At 43.8% G+C, this 20,507-nt stretch overlaps 2 protein-coding genes across 6 annotated transcripts in view, besides 4 other annotated features; one reads left to right on the forward strand and one right to left on the reverse strand.

Annotated features, from left to right (window-relative positions):
- Positions 1 to 680: 680 nt before the first annotated feature.
- Positions 681 to 15,376, reverse strand: POGLUT2 (protein O-glucosyltransferase 2). Of its 4 annotated transcripts, NM_001318732.2 has the most exons (11): positions 14,889 to 15,376; positions 13,204 to 13,409; positions 10,001 to 10,206; positions 9,741 to 9,818; positions 8,394 to 8,536; positions 7,658 to 7,830; positions 7,301 to 7,538; positions 5,412 to 5,621; positions 4,234 to 4,323; positions 2,632 to 2,739; positions 681 to 912 (listed from the first exon to the last, which is right to left on the reverse strand). In NM_001318732.2, exons 5-11 carry the CDS (start codon positions 8,406 to 8,408, stop codon positions 895 to 897), a joined length of 852 nt encoding a protein of 283 aa, NP_001305661.1. In that variant the 5' UTR covers positions 8,409 to 8,536; positions 9,741 to 9,818; positions 10,001 to 10,206; positions 13,204 to 13,409; positions 14,889 to 15,376; the 3' UTR covers positions 681 to 894. The 4 variants fall into 4 exon arrangements, with proteins under 4 accessions (NP_001305661.1, NP_076994.2, NP_001425939.1 ...); NM_024089.3 differs by lacking the exon at positions 8,394 to 8,536; NM_001439010.1 differs by lacking the exons at positions 2,632 to 2,739; positions 8,394 to 8,536.
- The window catches only part of BIVM (basic, immunoglobulin-like variable motif containing), a 42,415-nt gene continuing 37,426 nt past the window's right edge, over positions 15,519 to 20,507 (forward strand). For both annotated transcript variants that reach the window (NM_017693.4, NM_001159596.2), the window contains exon 1: positions 15,519 to 15,921. The gene's annotated coding sequence lies outside the window, so the exon portion shown is untranslated. The remainder of the gene's footprint in view (positions 15,922 to 20,507) is intronic.
- Positions 15,526 to 15,745: an enhancer, noted in NCBI's record as "active region_7970". NCBI's record gives its function as "activates an Ori minimal core promoter by ATAC-STARR-seq in GM12878 lymphoblastoid cells {active_cell/tissue: GM12878}" and the evidence as "EXISTENCE:reporter gene assay evidence [ECO:0000049][PMID:35858748]".
- Positions 15,806 to 16,075: a silencer, noted in NCBI's record as "silent region_5484". NCBI's record gives its function as "represses an Ori minimal core promoter by ATAC-STARR-seq in GM12878 lymphoblastoid cells {active_cell/tissue: GM12878}" and the evidence as "EXISTENCE:reporter gene assay evidence [ECO:0000049][PMID:35858748]".
- Positions 16,636 to 16,685: a silencer, noted in NCBI's record as "silent region_5485". NCBI's record gives its function as "represses an Ori minimal core promoter by ATAC-STARR-seq in GM12878 lymphoblastoid cells {active_cell/tissue: GM12878}" and the evidence as "EXISTENCE:reporter gene assay evidence [ECO:0000049][PMID:35858748]".
- Positions 16,716 to 17,145: a silencer, noted in NCBI's record as "silent region_5486". NCBI's record gives its function as "represses an Ori minimal core promoter by ATAC-STARR-seq in GM12878 lymphoblastoid cells {active_cell/tissue: GM12878}" and the evidence as "EXISTENCE:reporter gene assay evidence [ECO:0000049][PMID:35858748]".

Below are 20,507 nucleotides of genomic sequence, written 5' to 3' on the forward strand. Positions count from 1 at the left end.
CTCACAGTGAGAACTCACTTGTCACTGCAAGGATGGTGCCAGGCCATTCATGAGGGATCCACCCCTAAGATACAAACATCTCCCACCGGGCCCCACCTCCACCACTCAGAATTACATTTCAACATAAGATTTGGAAGGGACAAACATCAAAACCATATCACCCATTAGATATTTATTCAGTCTTTCTAGTTGCTGGCACTCTATTAGACGTTAGGACTACCCAGAAGAAAGGCCTGGTCTCTGAGGTCATGGCACTTAAAATCTAGTAAGGATAAAATATGTGCTGAAGGATGTGTAAGCCGGTTGAAGAAAAGAGGGCCAAGACATTCCAGGACAAGGGAAAGGCAAGAGCCAGGAAGGTAAGGACACAGGCATTGACAGAACTGGGAGAGGACTCGTTCTTCCAGAGGACAGTATTGATACTAGAAAGTGCTGAGAGATTTGACTAAAGATGCAGGTAGAGGCCATCTAATGACTGGCCTTGTACGAAGTATTAGCTAGAATTAAGTTTGGCTGAATACCCACAATAATATGGGCTTAAAAGGAGACAGGGGTTCATTGCTTTGTCATTTAAAACCAGTCTGGGCAGGTGGTCTGGGCTGCTGTGCATTAAGGACCCAGATTCTCTCTGTTTTTACTGCTCTCTGTTCCAAACACGGCTAATAATTAGCACAACGTAGTCCTTTAAAATAAAGGTGGTTTTATTATAAAATTCTAAAAATGTACTTTAAAGTACAGTCATGAGAATACTGCATAAGTAGAAATGTGTCTTCATACTGCAAACAATCACACAGATTTTATATTGTCCATGGAATTAATACTTAAAAAAATTCTTCTTTTTAGTTAAGAAGAGTCTTCAGAGCACCATTATTCTAATAGAAGTTATTTTGCATATCAGAGTTCATCTTTGGTCTGCAATTAAGAAGCAAAATATTTAGAGCTATCAAGAAGTCTTACACAAGTGAAGAAGACTTACATTCGTTAATTATTTTCCTGTAAAGATGAGAGGGAGCCAAGCTGCTGCTAGAGGCTTTTAGGGCTTGGGACTATTTCCAGAGGCCCAGAGTCAGCTAAGGGTAAAATCACATTGTGTTTCATAGCCTACTGATAAGGAACCCAAACATCCATGGGCTGTACTACTGTAAAGGCCTCATGTTATGAACAGTAGTGGTGAAAGACTAGGATAGACAATGAGCAAAAAATAAACGAAGCTATCATTCTGGCCCCTAACTTCTACTACTCAGTGGAAGAAACTGGCTGGGTACCTCCTCTCAATCACGTAGATGAAGATAAATAACTGAGCAGGAGTGGAGCAAGGAAGCTGCCAGTCTCACTTAGAGCCAAAGTGAGAAGTGTTCTGATACCAAATCACGGATTGGTGAGGGGGAACCTTTCGATTTGGCAATTCTTGTTTTATCATTGGTTTTAACTGATTTTTATGGCCTTGGAGCACTGACAGAGTTCACAATGATGACGAACCACCTCTGAGGGCCAGTTGGTTAGTGGTTAATGAGTTCTATAAAAAACAAAGACAAAAATAAAACAGCCAAAATTCTGATTTGTAGCATGTGCTGATTGTCATGGTGTAAATACTCCTATCAGGATGATTCCAAGCTACCAAAAATTTAACTAGTATGCAAAATTCCTGAATATTTATCAGTGAGCTCATATAAGCTGGTTCTGTCACATCACTGGGGCCAGCCTCACCTTAATTCCTTTTACACCTCCTTGAGAGGTAGACATAATAATTGCCAAATCTGCCTTCTTGTCTTTGGTTATAATACCACAATTTTGAACTTGTCCATTCAGAAACCTAATTATGTTGCCTAAAATGTTAAGTCAGCATATGTTACACACACACACACACACACACACACACACACACACACACTCTAGTTTATGCAATTTACATTCCTTCAAACAAACAAAAATCATAATCAAAGCAACAGTCCCCTGCCACACTATAGCTTTATATACAAGCACACACAATCACAATCTGATGATGAGAGATTGGTTTTTGCTTTGCTATAATCCAGCTAGATGATTTTGAGCACAATTCCTTTTTGGGCTCAGTTTTGTTAACCATAAAATGAAGGCATTTACTGGATGACTTCTAAGGTCCTTTCTACCTTAAAAGTCCAGATGTGAATCTGACTTTCATTTTTATCAATGAGATCCTTATGTAGTGGTATCAACTGAGATGACTTTCAAATGAAGAATTGGAAAACATTAATAATCGTGGTTACATATTTTTCCTTCTCTAAACTGGGATGATGAACTTTGCCAAACTTATCTCATGAGGAGATGAGGGCATCAGATGATACACATGAAAATATTTTTCAGACTGTAAGCATCCATTCAAATAGGGTGTGAGCTGGATTCTCACATTATAAAAGACTTCCCCCCACTTTGCCAGGGAGCTACCATGTCTTCTCAATTAACTGCATTGTAGCATCCTTTCTTGAGCACTGCTATCTTTTATACCTATCTCTCTGGCAGACTGAATTGCTTGGAGACCTCGAGAGGAACTCAAATATTTGCTGCCTGATTGAATGACTATAGGAATAAAAGCAAGTTTGGATCAATGTTAGTTTTTACTCTGACACCGGCCATAAGCTCAGTTCTGGTTACCTTTTTCCTATGGCAAGTACAAGGGAAGAGGTCGTCCTCAGTCTGTGGTTCTACCCTTTTCATGCCCTCTCGGATTTGGGGCTCACTCACTTGTAAATTGGCATATTCCTGTTTAAGCAACAATATAAAAGCATTCCTTATAAAACACTTTATATCCACCCAATGAGAGAGGCTAGAATATATGAAGACTATGATTCATTTAACTCATGTGTGTCAAACTGTGATCTGCATAGTCCGTCATATATACCAGTTCTGAACATCAACAGTAGAGCATCTGAGAGGAGGCCATCCTTTGAACACTGGCTGCCTATTCCTAACAGACACCTCTTTATGCTATCCTAAATTTCCATGACTTTTTTTTTTAACCGTCTTCTGCCTCACAGTAAAAATAATTTTGCACACAATCTTCCCTAGACTGAGAATGTGAAGACAGAGACTATTCTGCTTTCCTTATCATGGCTTGCACAAGCCTCCATCATCATCTTCATTTATCATGTGCTTACTCTGAGTGAAGCACTGTGCTAAGTACCTATGCTAAATGAATGAACACTGCCCCATGGATCCTTAGAAATTCACATGGTAAATCCCCCCAGTTTATTCATTTTACACGGTTTGTCCTCTGCTTCCCTCTATCAAGGGAAGGTTACAAAATCGGGAGGAGCCAGTACAGGCCAGAAATACACCAACTTTGATCTGTAGCAGAGCCTCAGATATGGGGCTCAGTATCTGCAACTGTGAGATAAAACTCTTACTCTAGATCTAGTACTGTTATTAGCCAAGAACTTGTTTACTACCTGATTTTGTTTTTTTTTTTTTGTTTGTTTATTTTTTTGAGACAGAATCTCACTCTTGTCACCCAGGCTGGAGTGCAGGGGTACGATCTCGGCTCACTGTAACTTCCACCTCCCGGGTTCAAGTGATTCTCCTGCCTCAGCCTCCCGAATAGCTGGGATTATAGGTGTGCACCACCACACCCGGCTAATTTTTGTATTTTTAGTAGAGACGGGGTTTCACCATGTTGGCCAGGCTGGTATCAAACTCCTCACCTCAGGTGATCTGTCTGCCTCAGCCTCCCAAAGTGCTGGGATTACAGGTGTGAGCCACCGCACCCGGCCTACTACCACATTTTTAAAAGAGTCCTTTAAATCGTCGGATATGCTTGATTACAATCTCTAAATGCTTAGGTCCATGGAAATAATTTCCAAGGGAAGTCATGGCTCATACAGAGTCAAGACAAGAGGCCCAAACACACCTGGCACTGTTTAGACAAAGAAATGGTAAGGCAGCAGCAATGTAACACAAAGAGAACATACAAATCCATGCACTGTAACTTTGTAGGATCAGAGGCCAATTTCTTAGTCAGACATCACATAGTTCTAATATTAATAGTTTTCGCTTAATATTGTAACATTTTCCATTAGCTAATCTTTGGTTTTCAACTATTTTTTTATGATTACTTAATATTTGTCTCTGATTTTCATCCACAGAAGTATATATATCTCCCTATAGTAACATATGTTTAGAAATTGTTAAGTAAAATATTATTTGTTCTTAACATGTCTACTTATAAGTTACGTGATGATTTTCTTGGAAAATACTGACCTGGAAAAGTTTGAAATAATAACAGAATATGTCATCGCCCATGAGATTATTTCTTGCAAATTCTTGTCCTGCTTTTGCTATCTTTTTGGCCTACAGGAAGAACAACGACAAAATCCTGTAATAGAATCCATTTTTCCCATGCAGGCATCTGCAAACTGCTCTTCAGAGTATGTATACATTGGGGCAACTGTGGGAAATAATATCTTTGGGGGTAGTCTCATGGTAAAACAGAACATTTAACAGAGTATGTTTGTTTAAATCAGAGGGAGGTTTCTAAGACTTAAAAGTTTGAAAAGTCATATTGGACCTTCTAGAACTAAGCCTCTCCTGGAGAGACAAGGTTGTACACCAAGCAAACTGATGACTTTGTAAACGCAAGATGAAGCTTAGCCAGCTGCCTTCACAAATTTCAGGAGACAATTAGCTTAAAGTTTATTGCATTCCATCCCTCTTTATTTCTGTATTTATGGCTGCATCTACTTCTGAATCAATCCCTCATTTTAACCTGGAGCCTGTTAGTGACTTCTGCCAGACTGGCCATCTTACAATTTTCACATTGCTAGCGGAGGCAATGCTTGTGGCTCAGAGCAACGCTACTTGAAAGAGAAAGTGTAATCAAGGCCACAGTTTAGCTTTTTGTTGTTGTTGTTGTTGTTTGTTGTTGTTGTTTGAGACGGAGTTTTGCTCTTGTTGCCCAGGCTGGAGTGCAATGGTGTGGTCTCGGCTCACTGCAACCTCCGCCTCCCAGGTTCAAGTGATTCTCCTGCCTCAGCCTCCCCAGTAGCTGGGATTACAGGCACCCATCACCACGCCAGCTTATTTTTGTATTTTTAGTAGAGATGGGGTTTGACCATGTTAGCCAGGCTGGTCTTGAACTCCTGACCTCAGGTGATCTGCCTGCCTCAGCCTTCCAAAGTGCTGGGATTACAGGCACGAGCCACCGCACCCAGCCTAGCTTTTTGTTTCACATGCAGAGTGGAGAGTTAATGTAAGATGCAGTGCCCGCTGTGTTCAGCCTAGGGGAACTGCCGTGCCATCTATGGGCAGGCAGCTTCCCATTTACAGGCCAAAGTCTATTACGTGAACATCCTGGATGCTCTCCAGGTACAATACATTTCAAAAGGACCCATGATATTGGGAAACAAGTGGAAATAAGCCTTCAAGGGGACTAACCTTACCTCTTCATCGTGATCTTTCGCCCATTTAAGTTTTTCTAGCAGATCGCTCAGGTTGCTCTTAACTGGAATGTAGTGTTTCCAGGGCTGCAGCTCATTGTAAAAATGTTCATAGTAGATGGAATCCTGCTTCAGCACAACACTGTCACCAACTAGCAAATATGGCAGGCGATAAGCTGCTACAGTGCCATCGATATTTATTTGATACTTATGCTGCAAAACAATGGTAAAGTCTAAGAACCTCTATTAAATCTCCTTTTCTCCACTCTATTCTCCTTCCCATCCCACACATAAACCTTTGCAATCCTCAGACACAATTTGGTCAGCTTCCACGCTCTGCCTTTGCCGTTTAGTAAGTGTTATTAAACAACAGGTTGATCTAGAGCTAAATGCTCATTTTGATGTGCTTCTCAATTTTACAAAGGATACAAATCTAGTGTTGAAGCAGCGAATACAATCATACTGCTGTCCTAAGGCTGCAACATAAGGAAGGATGGATTCATTTGTGACTTTTTGTAATTCTCCTGCTACTTTATTGATTGCAAATGTGCCCCTAATGATGGCATATTCTGAGCCATGTTAACCGTATTATTTATGTATTTATTTTGAGACAGAGTCTTGCTCTGTCACTCAGGCTGGAGTGTAGTGGCGTGATCTCAGCTCACTGCAACTTCCACCTCCTGGGATCAAGTGATTCTTGTGCCTCAGCATCCCCAGTCGCTGGCATTAGAGGCACGCACCACCACGCCCAGCTAATTTTTGTATTTTTAGTAGAGATGCGGTTTCACCATGTTGGCCAGGCTGGTCTCGAACCCTGGAACTCAGGTGATCTGCCTGCCTCAGCCTCCCAAAGTGCTAGGATTACAGGCGTGAGCCATCACGCCTGGCTAACCGTATTTTTTAAACACCCAGACATATGTCTTAAAGAAATTAGCAAGCTCTGGAGCAAGAACACCTATGAATAAAAATATTCATAGAACTGTGGTAATCTATCATCTTTAGTTGCAGAAAATTCAACAGGCAGGAATAAAGCCAAGGCAGGATGGAGCACCCCTCCACTGAGGAAGGTTGGCTAGTATCCTTTCACTTTGGTTATAATCATTTCTTTCAAAAATCTTTGGGATATGCATATAGAAAAATACTGACAATTCAACTTTAACATTGAACAAGGTTAACATTTAGGTCAACCTGCCTCAACAAAACCCATCAAAAGAAAATTTGGTCATCTACAGGGCAGACAGAACTCGTTAATCACTTGTCTTCCCACATACAGAGGACAGATGATGACCTTTTTCCCACCTCTCTCTCTACCATGGGGGACTTCAGAAACAACTCCATGGTCTAAAGAGCAGGGTGGTGCCCACTGCCTTATAAAAGGAGTTGTTAGAAAAAGGACTACTCCCCAGGAACCATGCGGAATCCACATTCTAGACAGAGAAAGCAAACCCTAATTCCCAGACAGAACATTTGGATGAGTTTCACGTCATTCCCCACCAGAAGGCCTGGTAAGAAACAAGTAGTTTATATCTTCCTTATTCTGTTGTGATAACATGGCTCTGGGAAAAAGTATTTGTAAAATGACTTACATGTAAGTATTAATAAAAACATATTTGGAGGTGACATGTGCTTATCTCAAGGGTTAGCTGGAAAAAAATTATAGCTCTATCCAGGCTCCAAACTCCCTTGATGCGCATTTAATATCAAGACTGGGCAGTGAGGGCAGACCCTGGTTGCCAAAACAGTCCCCAGCACCCCCATGTCTCAATATTCGCTCAATTTTGTGCTAACTTCTCCCACCTCTTGAAATTTGCAGGCCTTAATTTCCCTTCCCAAAGCACTATGTACAAATACATTAGAAAAACAAAAAAGATTAGCTACTGATTAAGTCATACCTTGAAGAAATCAAAAAATGAAATATGTTTCACAATGGGACCATACAGGTTTTCATCGTGTTTAAAGAAGAAAAAGTTGGTGAAAGCAGCGTCTATGAGTTCTGGGTGTTTTCTACTGAGTTTAACCAGCTCGAGTCTCTCTTTGCGGCTGTCTCGCCCTCTCCAGACGGCAGTGGAATTTTTGCTTTCCCAGGGAGGACCCGTGTTAGCTTGCACGGACATCATATCCAGACTTACCCTAGAAGACAAAGTGCAACAGATTTTCCTCCCAAATCATCATATCACAAAGGTTGTTGCAAAAGAACTCACCAAAGAAAGAAAACCAAGGCTCTGGGCCAACCCTGACTTATCTCTCACCGGCCCATGGTTTCCAGAACAGAATCAGTCAAATCGTACGTAGGCATCACGATATCCTTGGAATCTGTGGAGCCACACCAGGAAAAGATCGGATGGATGTTTGAATTGGATTTCTTTTTTTCCAAAGGCCAGTCTCCCAAATTAACAAAGAGCTCCACATCTGGCATCTTCACCTAGAAAAAACAAAACGAGGAGCTTATTCACATTTCCTGCATTGGATAATACATTGTATTTATCAATTTAAATTTGAAATTGCATTAATGAAAGGCCAATGTTACATGTTTCAGGTAATAATAATTACCTTGGTTTGAATAGTGGGCAATGTTTCAGAATATGGTCACATGTATAAGTATTCTATGCTCCCTATGAAAGGGATGAAACTGCAAAAGTAATCTCTGTTCTAATACTGCGAACAGCCTCTAAGATGATCAAAGAGAAGGAGAATTATTGGAAAATAATTTAAAAAATAGCACTTGGGACTCTAACCCTAGTTTCCTGCTAGTGAGCCAGATGGTTCCATTTTAAAAAACATACACCAGGTAGGTGGTGGGACCAGGATTTGAACTCAGGAAGCCCAACACCAACAGCAACGTAGTAAGTTTCAAGCTATGCTTCCTTCCTCTACTGGCAAATGGCATGAATATGTAAAGAGGATATGTTTTATCTAGTCACAGAAAATGTTTAGAGTATTTACAAAACAACAGATATACATTTTTAAGGCCAGAAAAGCACTGACCAGTCTGAGAAGCATCTTGAGAAACCGAAGTCCTGAAGAACATTCTCATTTTCCCATGGATTGACAAAGAGGAGCAAGAGAAGTATGACGGTACTCTGATGTCTTAGTTTAAAGGAGGCTTAATATTGATGCTATATAACTACCTACATTCAGAATTAACAGACTGTAAGTGCTTTGAAATCTTGAAAAAAAGGCATTATGATTTTCCATGAGTAGTTTAATCAAGATATACATGCAAATTATTCAACAAATAAATATAATAGATTACAAATAAATATACATTTGGTAAAAATGTTGGTAGAGTCTTTCACATCCACCATTTTAACATTACTTTCAAACCATTCCACTAGAACCCAACAAAAGCCCATTATCCCAAGGAATGGGATTCAGTACAAGGCAAGTCATCTTTGGACTCAGAGTTAGTTTAGTACCAAAATAATTTTATGATAAGGCATTTTTCTTTCCTCTATAAAATATTGTGTCCCTGCAAAAGATATGCTGAAGTCTTAAATCCCAGTGTCTCAGAATGACCTTATTTGGAAATAGGGTTGTTGCAGATATTAGTTAGCATGAGGTCATACTGGAGTAGGCTGGGCCATTAATCCACTATGCTGTGTCCTTATAAGAAGAGACCCAGAGACATGAGGGGAGAAGCCCACGTGATGACAGAGGCAGAGATGGGAGGATGCAGCTGCAAACCAAGGAACACCAAAGATGGAGGGCCACTGACAGCAGCCAGGAAGAGGCAGGAAAGGAAAGGAAAGGATCATCTCAGAGGGAGCTGGCCTCCTGACACTTTAATTTTTTTTGGGGGGGGACAGGATCTCACTCTTGTCACCCAGGCCTTGGGAGTGCAGTGGCGTGATCTCGGCTCATGCAGCCTCGACCTCCTAGGTTCAAGCGATCTTCCTGCCTCAGCTCCCCATTAGCTGAAACTACTACAGGCTAATTTTTGTATTTTTTGTAGAGACAGGTCTTCACCATGTTGCCCAGCCTGGTCTCAAGCTCCTGGGCTCAAGTGATCCACCCGCTTTGACCTCCTAAAGTGCTAGGATTACAGGCGTGAGCCATGGCACCTAGCTGACACTTTGATTTTGGACATCTGGCCTCCATAACTGCCAGAGAATACATTTCTGTTATTTTAAGGCTTCCAGTTTGTAGCACTTTGTTACGGCAGCCCTAGGAAACAAACGCAGGTACCTGAAATAACAGAAAGCTTCAGAATAGTATTATCATAAGGCTCCAGAAGAGAATACCCTGATAGTGTATAATTTGTATTTTGAAAAATTATCCTGTAAAATCTGGGCTTAAATTATCTATTACAGCTAAGAGAAAATATATACTTACCTTTCTAGTCAAAGAAAGTAGTATGGCATCCATGAAAATTCTAAAACCTACATGTTCACCATGAGTCTTGATATAAACCTAAAAGAGAATTTACCATTTATTATGTTAGTCTAAAGACGCTGGCAGACTTCACTGAGGAAAAGCTTGTCACAGTGCTCATTCGAATGATGTTTATAAAATGATTTAGCTAATTGTAGCCAAATGTTCAAAACAAGAAAAAAAATCACTAAAACAAACAAGCAAAAAATCATGTGTTGTACCTTGTTATCCTTTAAGGTGTAGTGACATAGGCTCTGCCTCTGTCCAAATCTTTTTGGGATTTCTACTGCAATCTTTTCTGGATCCACAGCAGGGAAATGTGCCAGATCTCTCTGAATCTGAGCAATGGTTTCAGGGCAGTTCATCTCCCGTAGCCAGGCTGCACTATCTTGCAGAGGACAGTCACAGTTCTCATGGTAAACCGGCCCTATTTACATAAGAATAACAAAGTACAACAGTGATCATTTCACTCAGCATTCGAAACTTGTAATAAACATCTATAATGTGGCTTCATGAATTTTGCTTAGTTACATAGGAAGAGCATTTTCATTGAAAACACATTTTAAGAGAATTACAGGCCAGCAAGGTTGGCTCATGTCGGTAATCCCAGCACTTTGGGAGGCTGAGGCAGGAAGACAGCCTGAGCCCAGGAGTTCGGGAGCAGCCTGGGCAACACAGGGAGACCATGTCTCTACAAAAAATAAAAAATTAGCTGGGTGCGTTGGCATGCACCTGTGGTTTCAGCTACTTGGGAGGCTGACGTGGGAGGATCACTTGAGCCCAGGAGGTTGAAGCTGCAGTGAGCCATGTTTGCGCCACTCCATCCTGGGCAAGACAGTGAGAGCCCGTTTCAAAGAAAAAAAAAGTAATACATTTTTACTATACTGGGGCATTGCAAGTAAGTCAGCCTTCTACTCTGACAGCTCTTCACAGTGAAGTTTTGTGATATTTTCATAATAATAAGGTCTACTTTGCATGAGTTCAAAAGAAAGGAAATAGAGGCTGGGTGCAGTGGCTCACGTCTGTAATACCAGCACTTTGGGAGGCTGAGGTGGGTGGATAACTTGAGGTCAGGAGTTTGAGACCAGCCTGGCCAACATGTTGAAACCCCATCTCTACTAAAAATACAAAAAAGTTTAGCTGGGTATGGTGGTGTGTGCCTGAAATCTCAGCTACTCAGGAGGCTGAGGCATGACAATAGCTTGAATCTGGGAGGTGAAGGTTGCAGTGAGCGGAGATTGTGCCACTGTGCTCCAGCTTGGGGGACAGAGTGAGACTCTTGTTTCAAAAAATAAAAGAAAGACAACAGATACTTGGTTTATGTCTATGGTAATATTACAGCTCATTATTCCTTATGTTTTGCAGACTGAAGAATAACCAAATACTGGTAAAAGGGTATCAGAGGAGCATACCTATTTTAATGAAAGACAAAAGTGATATGATTTACTATTTTGATGGTCTGTTATACAAACAGGTTCTTAAAGTGTCTAAGGTACTTTTCTCAATAAGTAAATCATCAATAACAGCAAAAATAAACAAGGAACTGCTATTCTTTTTTTTTTTTTTTTTAAGAATTATTAAGGAGGAAAAGTAGGCTGGGTTCTTGGCTCATGCCTGTAATCCCAGCACTTTGGGAGGCTGAGGCGGGCGGATCACGAGGTCAGGAGATCGAGACCATCCTGGTCAACATGGTGAAACCCCGTCTCTACTAAAAATACAAAAATTAGCCAGGTGTTGTGGCGCGTCCCTGTAGTCTCAGCTATTTGGGTGGCTGAGGCAGCAGAATCGCTTGAACCCGGGAGGCAGAGCTTGCAGTGAGCCGAGATTGCACCACTGCACTCTAGGCTAGTGACAGAGCGAGACATCGTCTCAAAAAAAAAAAAAAAAAAAAAAGCAAAAGTAGCTGGGTACAGTGGCTCACGCCTGTAATCCTAGCACTTTGGGAGACTGAGGTGGGCAGATCACTTGAGCTCCAGGGTTCGGGACCAGTCTGAGCAACATGGCAAAACCCTGTTTCTACAAAAAATACAAAAATTAGTGGGGCATGGTGGTGAGTGCCTGTAGTCCCAGCTACTCATGCAGCTGAGGTGGGAGGATTGCTTGAACCCAGGAGGTCGAGGCTGCAGTAAGCAGTGATTGCACCACTGCACTCCAGCCTGGGCAACAGAGCGAGACCCTGTCTCAACAACAACGGCAACAAAAAGAAGCAAAAGTAATTCTCAAAACAGTCCACTTCACTAATTTTATAACAAATTAATTACAGTCTGCACTGAGGTTTTTACTGTTATTCCTTTTTATAATTCTCAGATCCCACCTAACCCAGGCAGTGGCTGACAATGGAATATCTTTTTAAGGTTTAGTGGGTGATACTGTACCAGGCTGTACTGGCAGAATGTAGGAAAGGAACCTAGACACTCTTGAAAAGTGTTTACCTTTTCTTACTTCTCTGCAGAGTTCACAAAAATAAAAAAAAAAAAGTTTACTTTTCTTGGGGTTGTTAAGGGGGGGACAAGATTTCTGCCTTTGTATATACACTGCTTCCCTACTGTCTTGTGGTACTGTCGCCTGTAAGAGGGAAGGAGATGGCTCTAGGTAATAAAACTGTACTCTCATCCTATATAAGAAACATCAGAATGGCCGAGCATGGTGGCTCACACCTGTAATCCCAGCACTTTGGGAGACTGAGGCAGGCAGATCATGAGGTCAAGAGATCGAAACCATCCTGGTCAACATGGTGAAATCCTGTCTCTACTAAAAATACAAAAATTAGCCTGGCATGGTGGTGCGTGCCTGTAATCCCAGCTACATGGGAGGCTAAGGCAGGATAATCGCTTGAACCCGGAAGGCGGAGCTTGCAGTGAGCCAAGACTGCGCCATTGCACTCCAGCCTTGTGACAGAGCGAGACTCTGCCTCAAAAAAAAAAAAAAAAAAATAAATAAATAAATAAATAAATAAATGTCAGAGAATTTCTCTGGGAAAATGGCATTGGAACAAAGACAAAAAAACAACCACCAGTGCGCTCCTTGTCTTTCGAGCTATCTCCCTTCCTGAAGTGATCTACCTAATTTCAATAACACTTATCAGTTACTTAAGTCATATATTTCCAATTAAGAAAGTATCATATATGAGCATGAACACAGCTTGATTATTCTTGCTAATGTATGTCTTCGCGGAGTAAATTCTCTACTAATATGTTCCTTGCTCTTTAGCAAATCAGAATTTCCGTTCAAATCTTGAATGTCTTTTTACCAGGACTCATAACTTAGCTTTCAAGTAGAAAGCCTTTATTTTTCTTCTTTCAGTAAAAAAAAAAAAAAAAATATATATATATATATATATATCATGCCAAGTTGTTTTTGTTGATGGAATAACATATATTATTTTATTCAAATACTGCTGTTATAAAATTATATTCCAAATTACCTTTTAAAATATATGGGGATTTGGCCACATGTTGCCCTTGGAATTTAATTTCCACCTTCAGATTTTTGTAGCTTGCATACATTCTGTATCTTACTATGAAGGACCCATCTTTTCGGTCTAAAACCTGGACTCCAACTCTAGTGAATTGCTCCTCTGGTGCTGAGACTTTCACCTGGAAGACCTTTTCGCCTGGAGAAGATGTGAATCTGTGATGAAAAGGCAATGGGGGAGATAAACAGATTTTAACGAACAAACACACAAAGGTTATGCTCTTCAGTCTGGAAACTTGATTATTCTCCTCCACATTCTTCCTCTAACATATGATTGCTTCTTCTTCTCTTATGCTTTTAGTACCAGAATGAATATGATGGATCAGAGATTTAAAAAAATGAGGATGACAATGGCCAAGATAACATGAAACAGTTTCATTAAACAGTCACAATGGAGTATGTTAAGACTATTAATCTATATAAGCACAGAACATACTCATGCATTCCATATGGAAAAATATTCTTACTAACTTATTTCATGCTATCACATCTGGATATTTGTGATCAAATGATGCTCCCAAAGATAATGATCTTATTTTGAAAAATCTCTGCCAATGAATCTTTACAATATCAGTATTATAAATCACGCTCAGGCCTGGCACTGTGGCCCATGCCTACTATCTCAACATCTTGGGAGGCCAAGGAGGGAAGACTGCTTGAGGCCAGGAGTTCGAGATCAGCCTGGGCAACAAGGTGAGATCCTGTCTCTACAAATAATAATAATAATAATAAAAAACAAATAGCCAGGCGAGGTGGCACACGCCTGTAGTCCCAACTACTAGGGAGGCTGAGGTGGGAGGATAGCTTCAGCCTGGGAGGTTGAGGGTACAGTGAGCTGTGATTGCACCACTGCACTCCAGACTAGGCTAGGAAGTGAAACCCTGTCTTAAAAAAAAAAAACTCACGCTCAGCCATGGGCAAAAGCAAAGTAGTAGGTAGTGTATCATCTTTTGCCAAATAACAAAATTTACAACCTGCCTTTTACTTGACAACCTTTTATTCCAGTATTTTTTTCTGTATGAAATACACACAGTCAGCATCCACCAATAATAGAGACAATCATTTCAGAAGTATAGGAATTATAAAAATAAGTTTTAAGTATGATGTTAAAGTATTAAATTCATTGGAACAAAATATTTGTTACAATCATATAGGAGATTAATACTTCGATACTTTCCTTCCGAACTCTGAAGTTTCAAATAGTACTTCATTTTTCTTTTTCAGTTTCAAAACATGCTTACCTGCAGATGTCTCCTTGAAAATTGAGGGCCGCACCAGAGAAAGATGAAGCCCATCAAGTCTCTAACAACTAGGTTTAAATCCCTTATAATAGCTTATGCGAAAAGTAGTTAGAAACAGTATTTCCAGCAAAGTGGAGGGACTTTGTCTTGCCCTGATAATGTGGGAATCTGAATCAAAATTGCTAGGAGATTATTTTATATGTTATATACAATACATTATATTGCATATATTATAATTCGGAACAATTTCTACAGCTACAGAGAAAAATGGGTAACCAAATATCCTGGAATATAAACTGCTGTGGAGAAACGAGTTCTTGGAAAGAAAAATCTTAAAGGGAGAAACAGATTTAACCGCCATCCAAAATAGGTAAGGAGCCGTTTCTCGACTTACTTATTCCCTGATGTATCCACTGCCTGAATATAGAAATAGCGGGCGGGAAGGACGACGTCTGCTTTTAGCCCGGGTCCCCATATTTCGCTCTTCTCCGGGCTCAGCTGCCTTTCTCCGCCGGTCTCGGCGAGTGCTGGAACTGTCGCCAGAAAGAAGCAATAAAGTAGCAAAGTGCCAAACATTTACAAGACGGACTCTCGAAATGATCCACCGATAAATGAAGAAGTGTAAGAGGTGGACAGAAGCAGCCGAGCCTTCGGCAGGGACCCGCCGGCCGATCGCAGCAGCCAACGCGACTGCAAAGGTTGCCGCCCGGCGTGCAGGGCAGGCGCGCGGGTCTCCGCGACCCCAGGACAATCAAAGCCCGTGCCCCGGCGCGCCCAGGTGAGGGTCCCCTGGCGTTCTGCTGTCCCGGCCGAGAACCGCGCTGCTCCTCTCTCTCAGGACAATGATGAACTTGAGTTGCTCCTGCCACTGGAGCATCATTTGGGAGCGAATCCGTCTCAGGTTCCAGCCAAGGTGTAGGGCGAGGGGATTGGCCCGTGCGTCGGGCCAGGCTCAGTAACGCCTTCTCCAAGTGGATGGCGGGGTGGACACGCGTCCCGGCGCCCCGGGCTCCCTGGGATATGTAGTTCGCGACAGGACGAGCGGAAATACTGCCAGGATTTTACCACCTCTCGCCCATTTATTTACTTCTCGGTCACCGCTTTCGGGGGACAGATAAACACCACAGATGCCCATCAAAGGGGCGCACGGGTCTGGAGGCGCAGCTCAGGTTTTTGCGTTGGTCACCCTGCCCTCCGCACGTGGAGAGGGCAGGCATAAAGCACCTTGAAAGGAAGGTGCTGTCAATGCTATCCGACGACCTGTCGCCGGGCACCGCAGCATCCTCGCTCGCTCCGATGGGACGAGGGACGCCGGCCCCAGGGTAACAGGAGGCGCCTCGCCGGCCGCGCGCTGGATGCTGTGATCCAGGTCCGGAGCCGGGTTCCGCCGCGGCCGCAGCGACCCGACCCCACCCGACAGGCCAGAGGTACCCCGGGGCGGGGGGCAGGGGCCGAGGTGGCGGCCGGCTGTGCGCTCTGAGCGCCTGGCCCTCCGCTGGGCACCTGGGCGCCGCCAGCCCGGCCTGCTGCCGCTCTACGCGCAGCCACCTGGGCATTCAAAATTTTTACTTAATTCGATACCGGCCTGGGCTGCCAGGGGTCATCGCCTCTCCGAGCCCCGTGGCGTCCAGATGGAGGCCACTGCATGGGTGCGCGCTCTCCCGGGAAGGAGTAGGGGGAAGAGCTGTGTCGCGGGGGGAAGAGAAGCGCCAGGGAAAGAAGGGCCTAGCCCTCTGGTGAACAAAGCTCGATTAGGAGGTGTCCATGTGGATACCGGTGACCCCTGTGCGGCCGTCGGTCTCCACGCCACGCTGGGCAGGGTCCGGGAACCAGCGCGCAGCGGCCGTCGCCTTCCCCTGCACGCCAGCACCCGGGTCTGGGCCGCCGCCAGGAGTCACGGGCTCACCGCCCTGGTCAGCTTGGCAGTCGGACCCGGAGCCGCCTCCTCTGCCTGCCTCCCTCTTGCCAGCTGCCCCGAAAACCCAGAAGAGCCGGTGGCTCCGAGCCAAGGCGGGCCTGGTTCGGCGCCAGGAAAGGGGGTTTCTTTCCTATTTTCTTTTGTGCAATTGTCATTATTAATGATACCGACTCGTTTACTCAAACAGTCGAATCGGAGCCCCAGCTCTTAGCCCGGATGCAGCAATTGCCCGTGGGCCCCCTTTAACACCAACAGCGTCCCCGGGGCCCGGGGCAAGCATGTTCGAGGCGGTCACCCCCGGGCCTCGGCGCGCTCCCCCTGGCGGAGAGCCTCGTCTTCCGGCCGGTGAGGGAAGGTAGAGGAGGGAGTAGGGGCGAGGAGGCCTCGGCGGCCCTTGGGCTCTGCGGGCTGGGGACTCGGGGTGCCCGCGACACGCGCGGAGGCGCGGGCTGGGTTGGCCACGGGCAGGGAGCGCAGCCGCGCTCCTTCCTCTCTGCCCGCGTCGCCTCCGCGCGCACTGGTTCTGCGCGGCGGGGCTTGGCCTGCGCGACTGTCTACTCCGTCCCGGCGGCCTCGGAGCCCGGCCGAGCGGCGAGCTTGTCAGAGGACGGTGGTGGAAACGCTCCCGGCCTCCCCAGGGGCGCGGGCTGGAGGCTGGCGCCAGGCGCGGAGGACTCCCGGTATCTTTTGACAGGCTGGCGCCTCGGCTCTGGGGACCCGCAGGTCTGAAGGGGAGGAAGGGGCCTGGAGGGCGCGGGAGGACACCGGGTGGGAAGGGTGGCATTAGCTCGGCCGGGGGCTATGCGCCTCTGGTTTCGCCCTCCCGCGCATATTCGACCCTTACGAGGTCACCGGAATGCCCCTGCTCCTCAGTTGCCTTCTATACAGGATATCGATCAGGGTATTTTGTTATACGAAAAGGCTTTACTGAAGAGGTTTTTAGAGATGTTTGGTTCTCTCATAAACTTGATACTTGAGAATACAGACAAAATATAACCTGAAAAGACTACAACCTAGGCGATGAAGATTGGCTTTACAAATGGACGTTTATTTTACAGAACACTTCGTTCAGTGACTTTGAACAATCATGACTCTGGCGGTGCTTTTTAAACTTGCCATTTTATAAATTTTTGCTTTGCATACGAGCAAACCATATTTCTATTGCTTATGACATGATTTTATGAGTAAGCTATTAGTTGAGCCTGAGGTCCTGCAGTCATTCTTAGTAGTAAATTTTTTTTTTTTTTTTTTTGAGACGGAGTTTTGCTCTGATCGCCCAGGCTGGAGTGCAATGGTGCAACTGTAACCTCCACCTCTGGTGTTCAGCGATTCTCCAGCCTTGCCTCCTGAGTAGCTGGGCCTACACGCATGCGCCACCATGCACGGCTAATTTTGTATTTTTTTATTTTTTATTTTTTTTTAGTAGAAACGGGTCTCACCATGTTGGCCAGGCTGGCCTCAAACTCCTGACCTCAGATGATCCACCCGCCTCAGCCTCCCAAAGTGCTGGGATTACAGGTGTGAGCCACCACGCCGGCTTAGTAAATCTTAATATAGCAACACCTCACTTGCCTGGAAGAGGGAACCGCAATCAATCAAAATGAGGGCCTACAGTAATGCCTGGCATGATGCAAACACTTAAAAATTATCTGTTGAATGAGACGTCTACAAATCCTAGGCCCTGGGGATACAATAATCTGGAAAACCAGACTTGCAGGATGCAGACGTTGATCATATGAACAGATATGCACAGAAGTAAGTGTAAAATTGCCACCTGGTAAGACCTGTGTGAGGAAGGTACTAGAGTCTGTACCGGGTCACCTGGCCTAGTTTGAGAAGCCAAGAAGGTTTCCCCCAGAAAGTGACATTTGAGCTGACATTGGAAAGATGAATGGGAATGAGCTAAGTAAGGGAGACAGTATTGGGAGAACCAAAAAGTAATGTGGAGCTTGGGGGGTGGGGGAAAGGAATGAGATGGAGCTAACCAGATAGATCTAGGGACCATCAGGAGTTGGCCTTTTGTTCTAAGAGCAGAGGCTTTCAGGCAGAGGAGTTCTGTGATCATATATATGTAGCAAACTTTATTTTCTAATATCTCTGCACAGGTCAGGTTAGAAGTGTCAACTCACTGGGAATAGTTTATAAATAGAGAAACAAAAGGAGATAAAAGATGAGTCAAAACAGTGACAGCTGCAGCCTATTAAGTGGAGGGACAAACTGCCTCTCTATAGCTCAGTATTGTCTATAATGATTCTGTTATTAGTATTATCAGTAATAAATTGTGCTTAGTGTACTTTAAGAAAGCTAGAATCTGAGCATGCAATAATAGAAGCCCCCTTGGCCTCTTGGGGCTCTCACTATAGTGGAGAGAATAGACGTGAGACAGTGTGGAAAGAAAGTAAACACTAGCAGTGTTTGGGTCGTGGGATTTGGGTAATTTCCATTTTCCTGTAATATCTTTTGGTACTTTGCATTTTTTTGTAATGTTTTACTTATAAAATCTATGAATATTACATTTTCAAAGAGAAATTTACATATAGTTTCCAATGAGAATGTTTCATGCCCTTGGATTTTAGTGACAGTCAATATAAAATGCATCCTTATATTGATGATCTTCATTTTTTTTTTGCTAAAACTTCGACCAAATAAATCATCTTGTTCCGTGACCATTATTTAAAAGCAAACAAACTAAAAACACAAACAAACCAGACTGTTACTTTTTTCTCTCTTTCCTTTTTTTTTTTTTTTTTTGAGACAGAGTCTTGCTTTGTTGCCCAGGCTAGAGTGCAGTGGTGTGATCATAGCTCACTGCAGCCTCAAACTCCTGGCCTCAAGTGATTCTTTTGCCTCAGCCTCCCAAAGCATAGATATTACAGGTATGAGCCACTGTGCCTGGCTCACACTGTTACTCTTTTTATTAATCTAGTGCTGTGTTCTATCTTTAGCGTCCAGGAAGCTTACCCCCAACTTTTGTGCTTAAATGCAGTCATTTCCCTTTGCCTATGTTTTTGATAAGAATATTCTCCATGGCTGGGCATGGTGGCTTGTGCCTGTAATGCCAGCAATTTGGGAGGCTGAGGCGGGAGGATTGCTTGAAGCCAAGAGGTCAAGACCAGCCTAGGCAACATAGCAAGACCCTGTTTCTTAAAAAAAAAAAAAAAAAAGGTTATTCTATATATGTTCCAAATGAGCATACTTTTACAATCCCTGCCAGGTGCAGTGGCTCATTCCTATAATCCCAGCACTTTGGGGGGCCGAGGCCAGCAGATCACCTGAGGTCAGGAGTTCCAGACCAGCCTGGCCAACGTGGTGAAACCCCATCTCTACTAAAAATACAAAAATTAGCCAGGCATGGTGGCACCTGCCTGTAATTCCAGCTACTCCAGAGGCTGAGGCAGGAGAATCTCTTGAATCCAGGAGACAGAGGTTGCAGTGAGCTGAGATCCGGCCATTGCACTCCAGCCTGGGCAACAGAGTGAGATTCCATTTAAAAAAATCAAATCAAATCCCTACACTGTCACACAGAGAGCTGGTCCCACAGGCAAAATTCCATTCAGTGTGAGGAAGGAAGCCCTGGGAAAGTGGAAGCCAAGTCTGAGATGAGGATATAAAAGGGGCAGGGCCTGGAACATTTCCGTCTCGCCACCAAACTCACTCTAATAACCTTTGTCTATTGCCTCTCACCGAGACTATATGCTCTTTCATTCCTCACCTCGCACAGCCCACCCCCACGACCCCAATACCACAAATACCTACCTCTCTGTCCACCACACTGATGTAGAGAAAGGCATGAAGGTCACAGATGAGAAGTAGAAAATGCTATGTTAGGACATCTGCTGAGAATCAGAGCAACTCTGTCTTCCAAAAAGACAAGAGTTTGGTCTGAACAACGCCAGGTACTGAGCTTCCCTCTGCCATCACCGTTGCACCACCAGATGAATAAGGAGAGAGCACCACTTCCACTTGAGGACCCACTACAACTACTCCAAGAATTTTTTTTACCAAAAGAAAGTGAAAGTTTTCAAAGTGAAACCACAGGAGGTTCCACCTTTCGTGGTAATATTCCTATCCAACTGACCCTCTTGCAAACAACTA

The sequence above is a fragment of the Homo sapiens genome, chromosome 13 (assembly GCF_000001405.40).
Source record: "Homo sapiens chromosome 13, GRCh38.p14 Primary Assembly".
Taxonomy (NCBI): domain Eukaryota; kingdom Metazoa; phylum Chordata; class Mammalia; order Primates; family Hominidae; genus Homo; species Homo sapiens.

Bases quoted from the DNA above. Each gene is read 5' to 3' on its own strand.
- POGLUT2 (NM_024089.3), bottom strand. From the start codon at position 15,070: ATGTTTGGCACTTTGCTACTTTATTGCTTCTTTCTGGCGACAGTTCCA. The intron at 13,410-14,888 runs GTAAGTCGAGAA...TTTTCATCACAG, and splicing joins GTGGATACATCAGGGAATAA to ATTCACATCTTCTCCAGGCG. The intron at 2,740-4,233 runs GTCAGTATTTTC...TTGCTTAAACAG, and splicing joins ATTATTTCAAACTTTTCCAG to GAATATGCCAATTTACAAGT.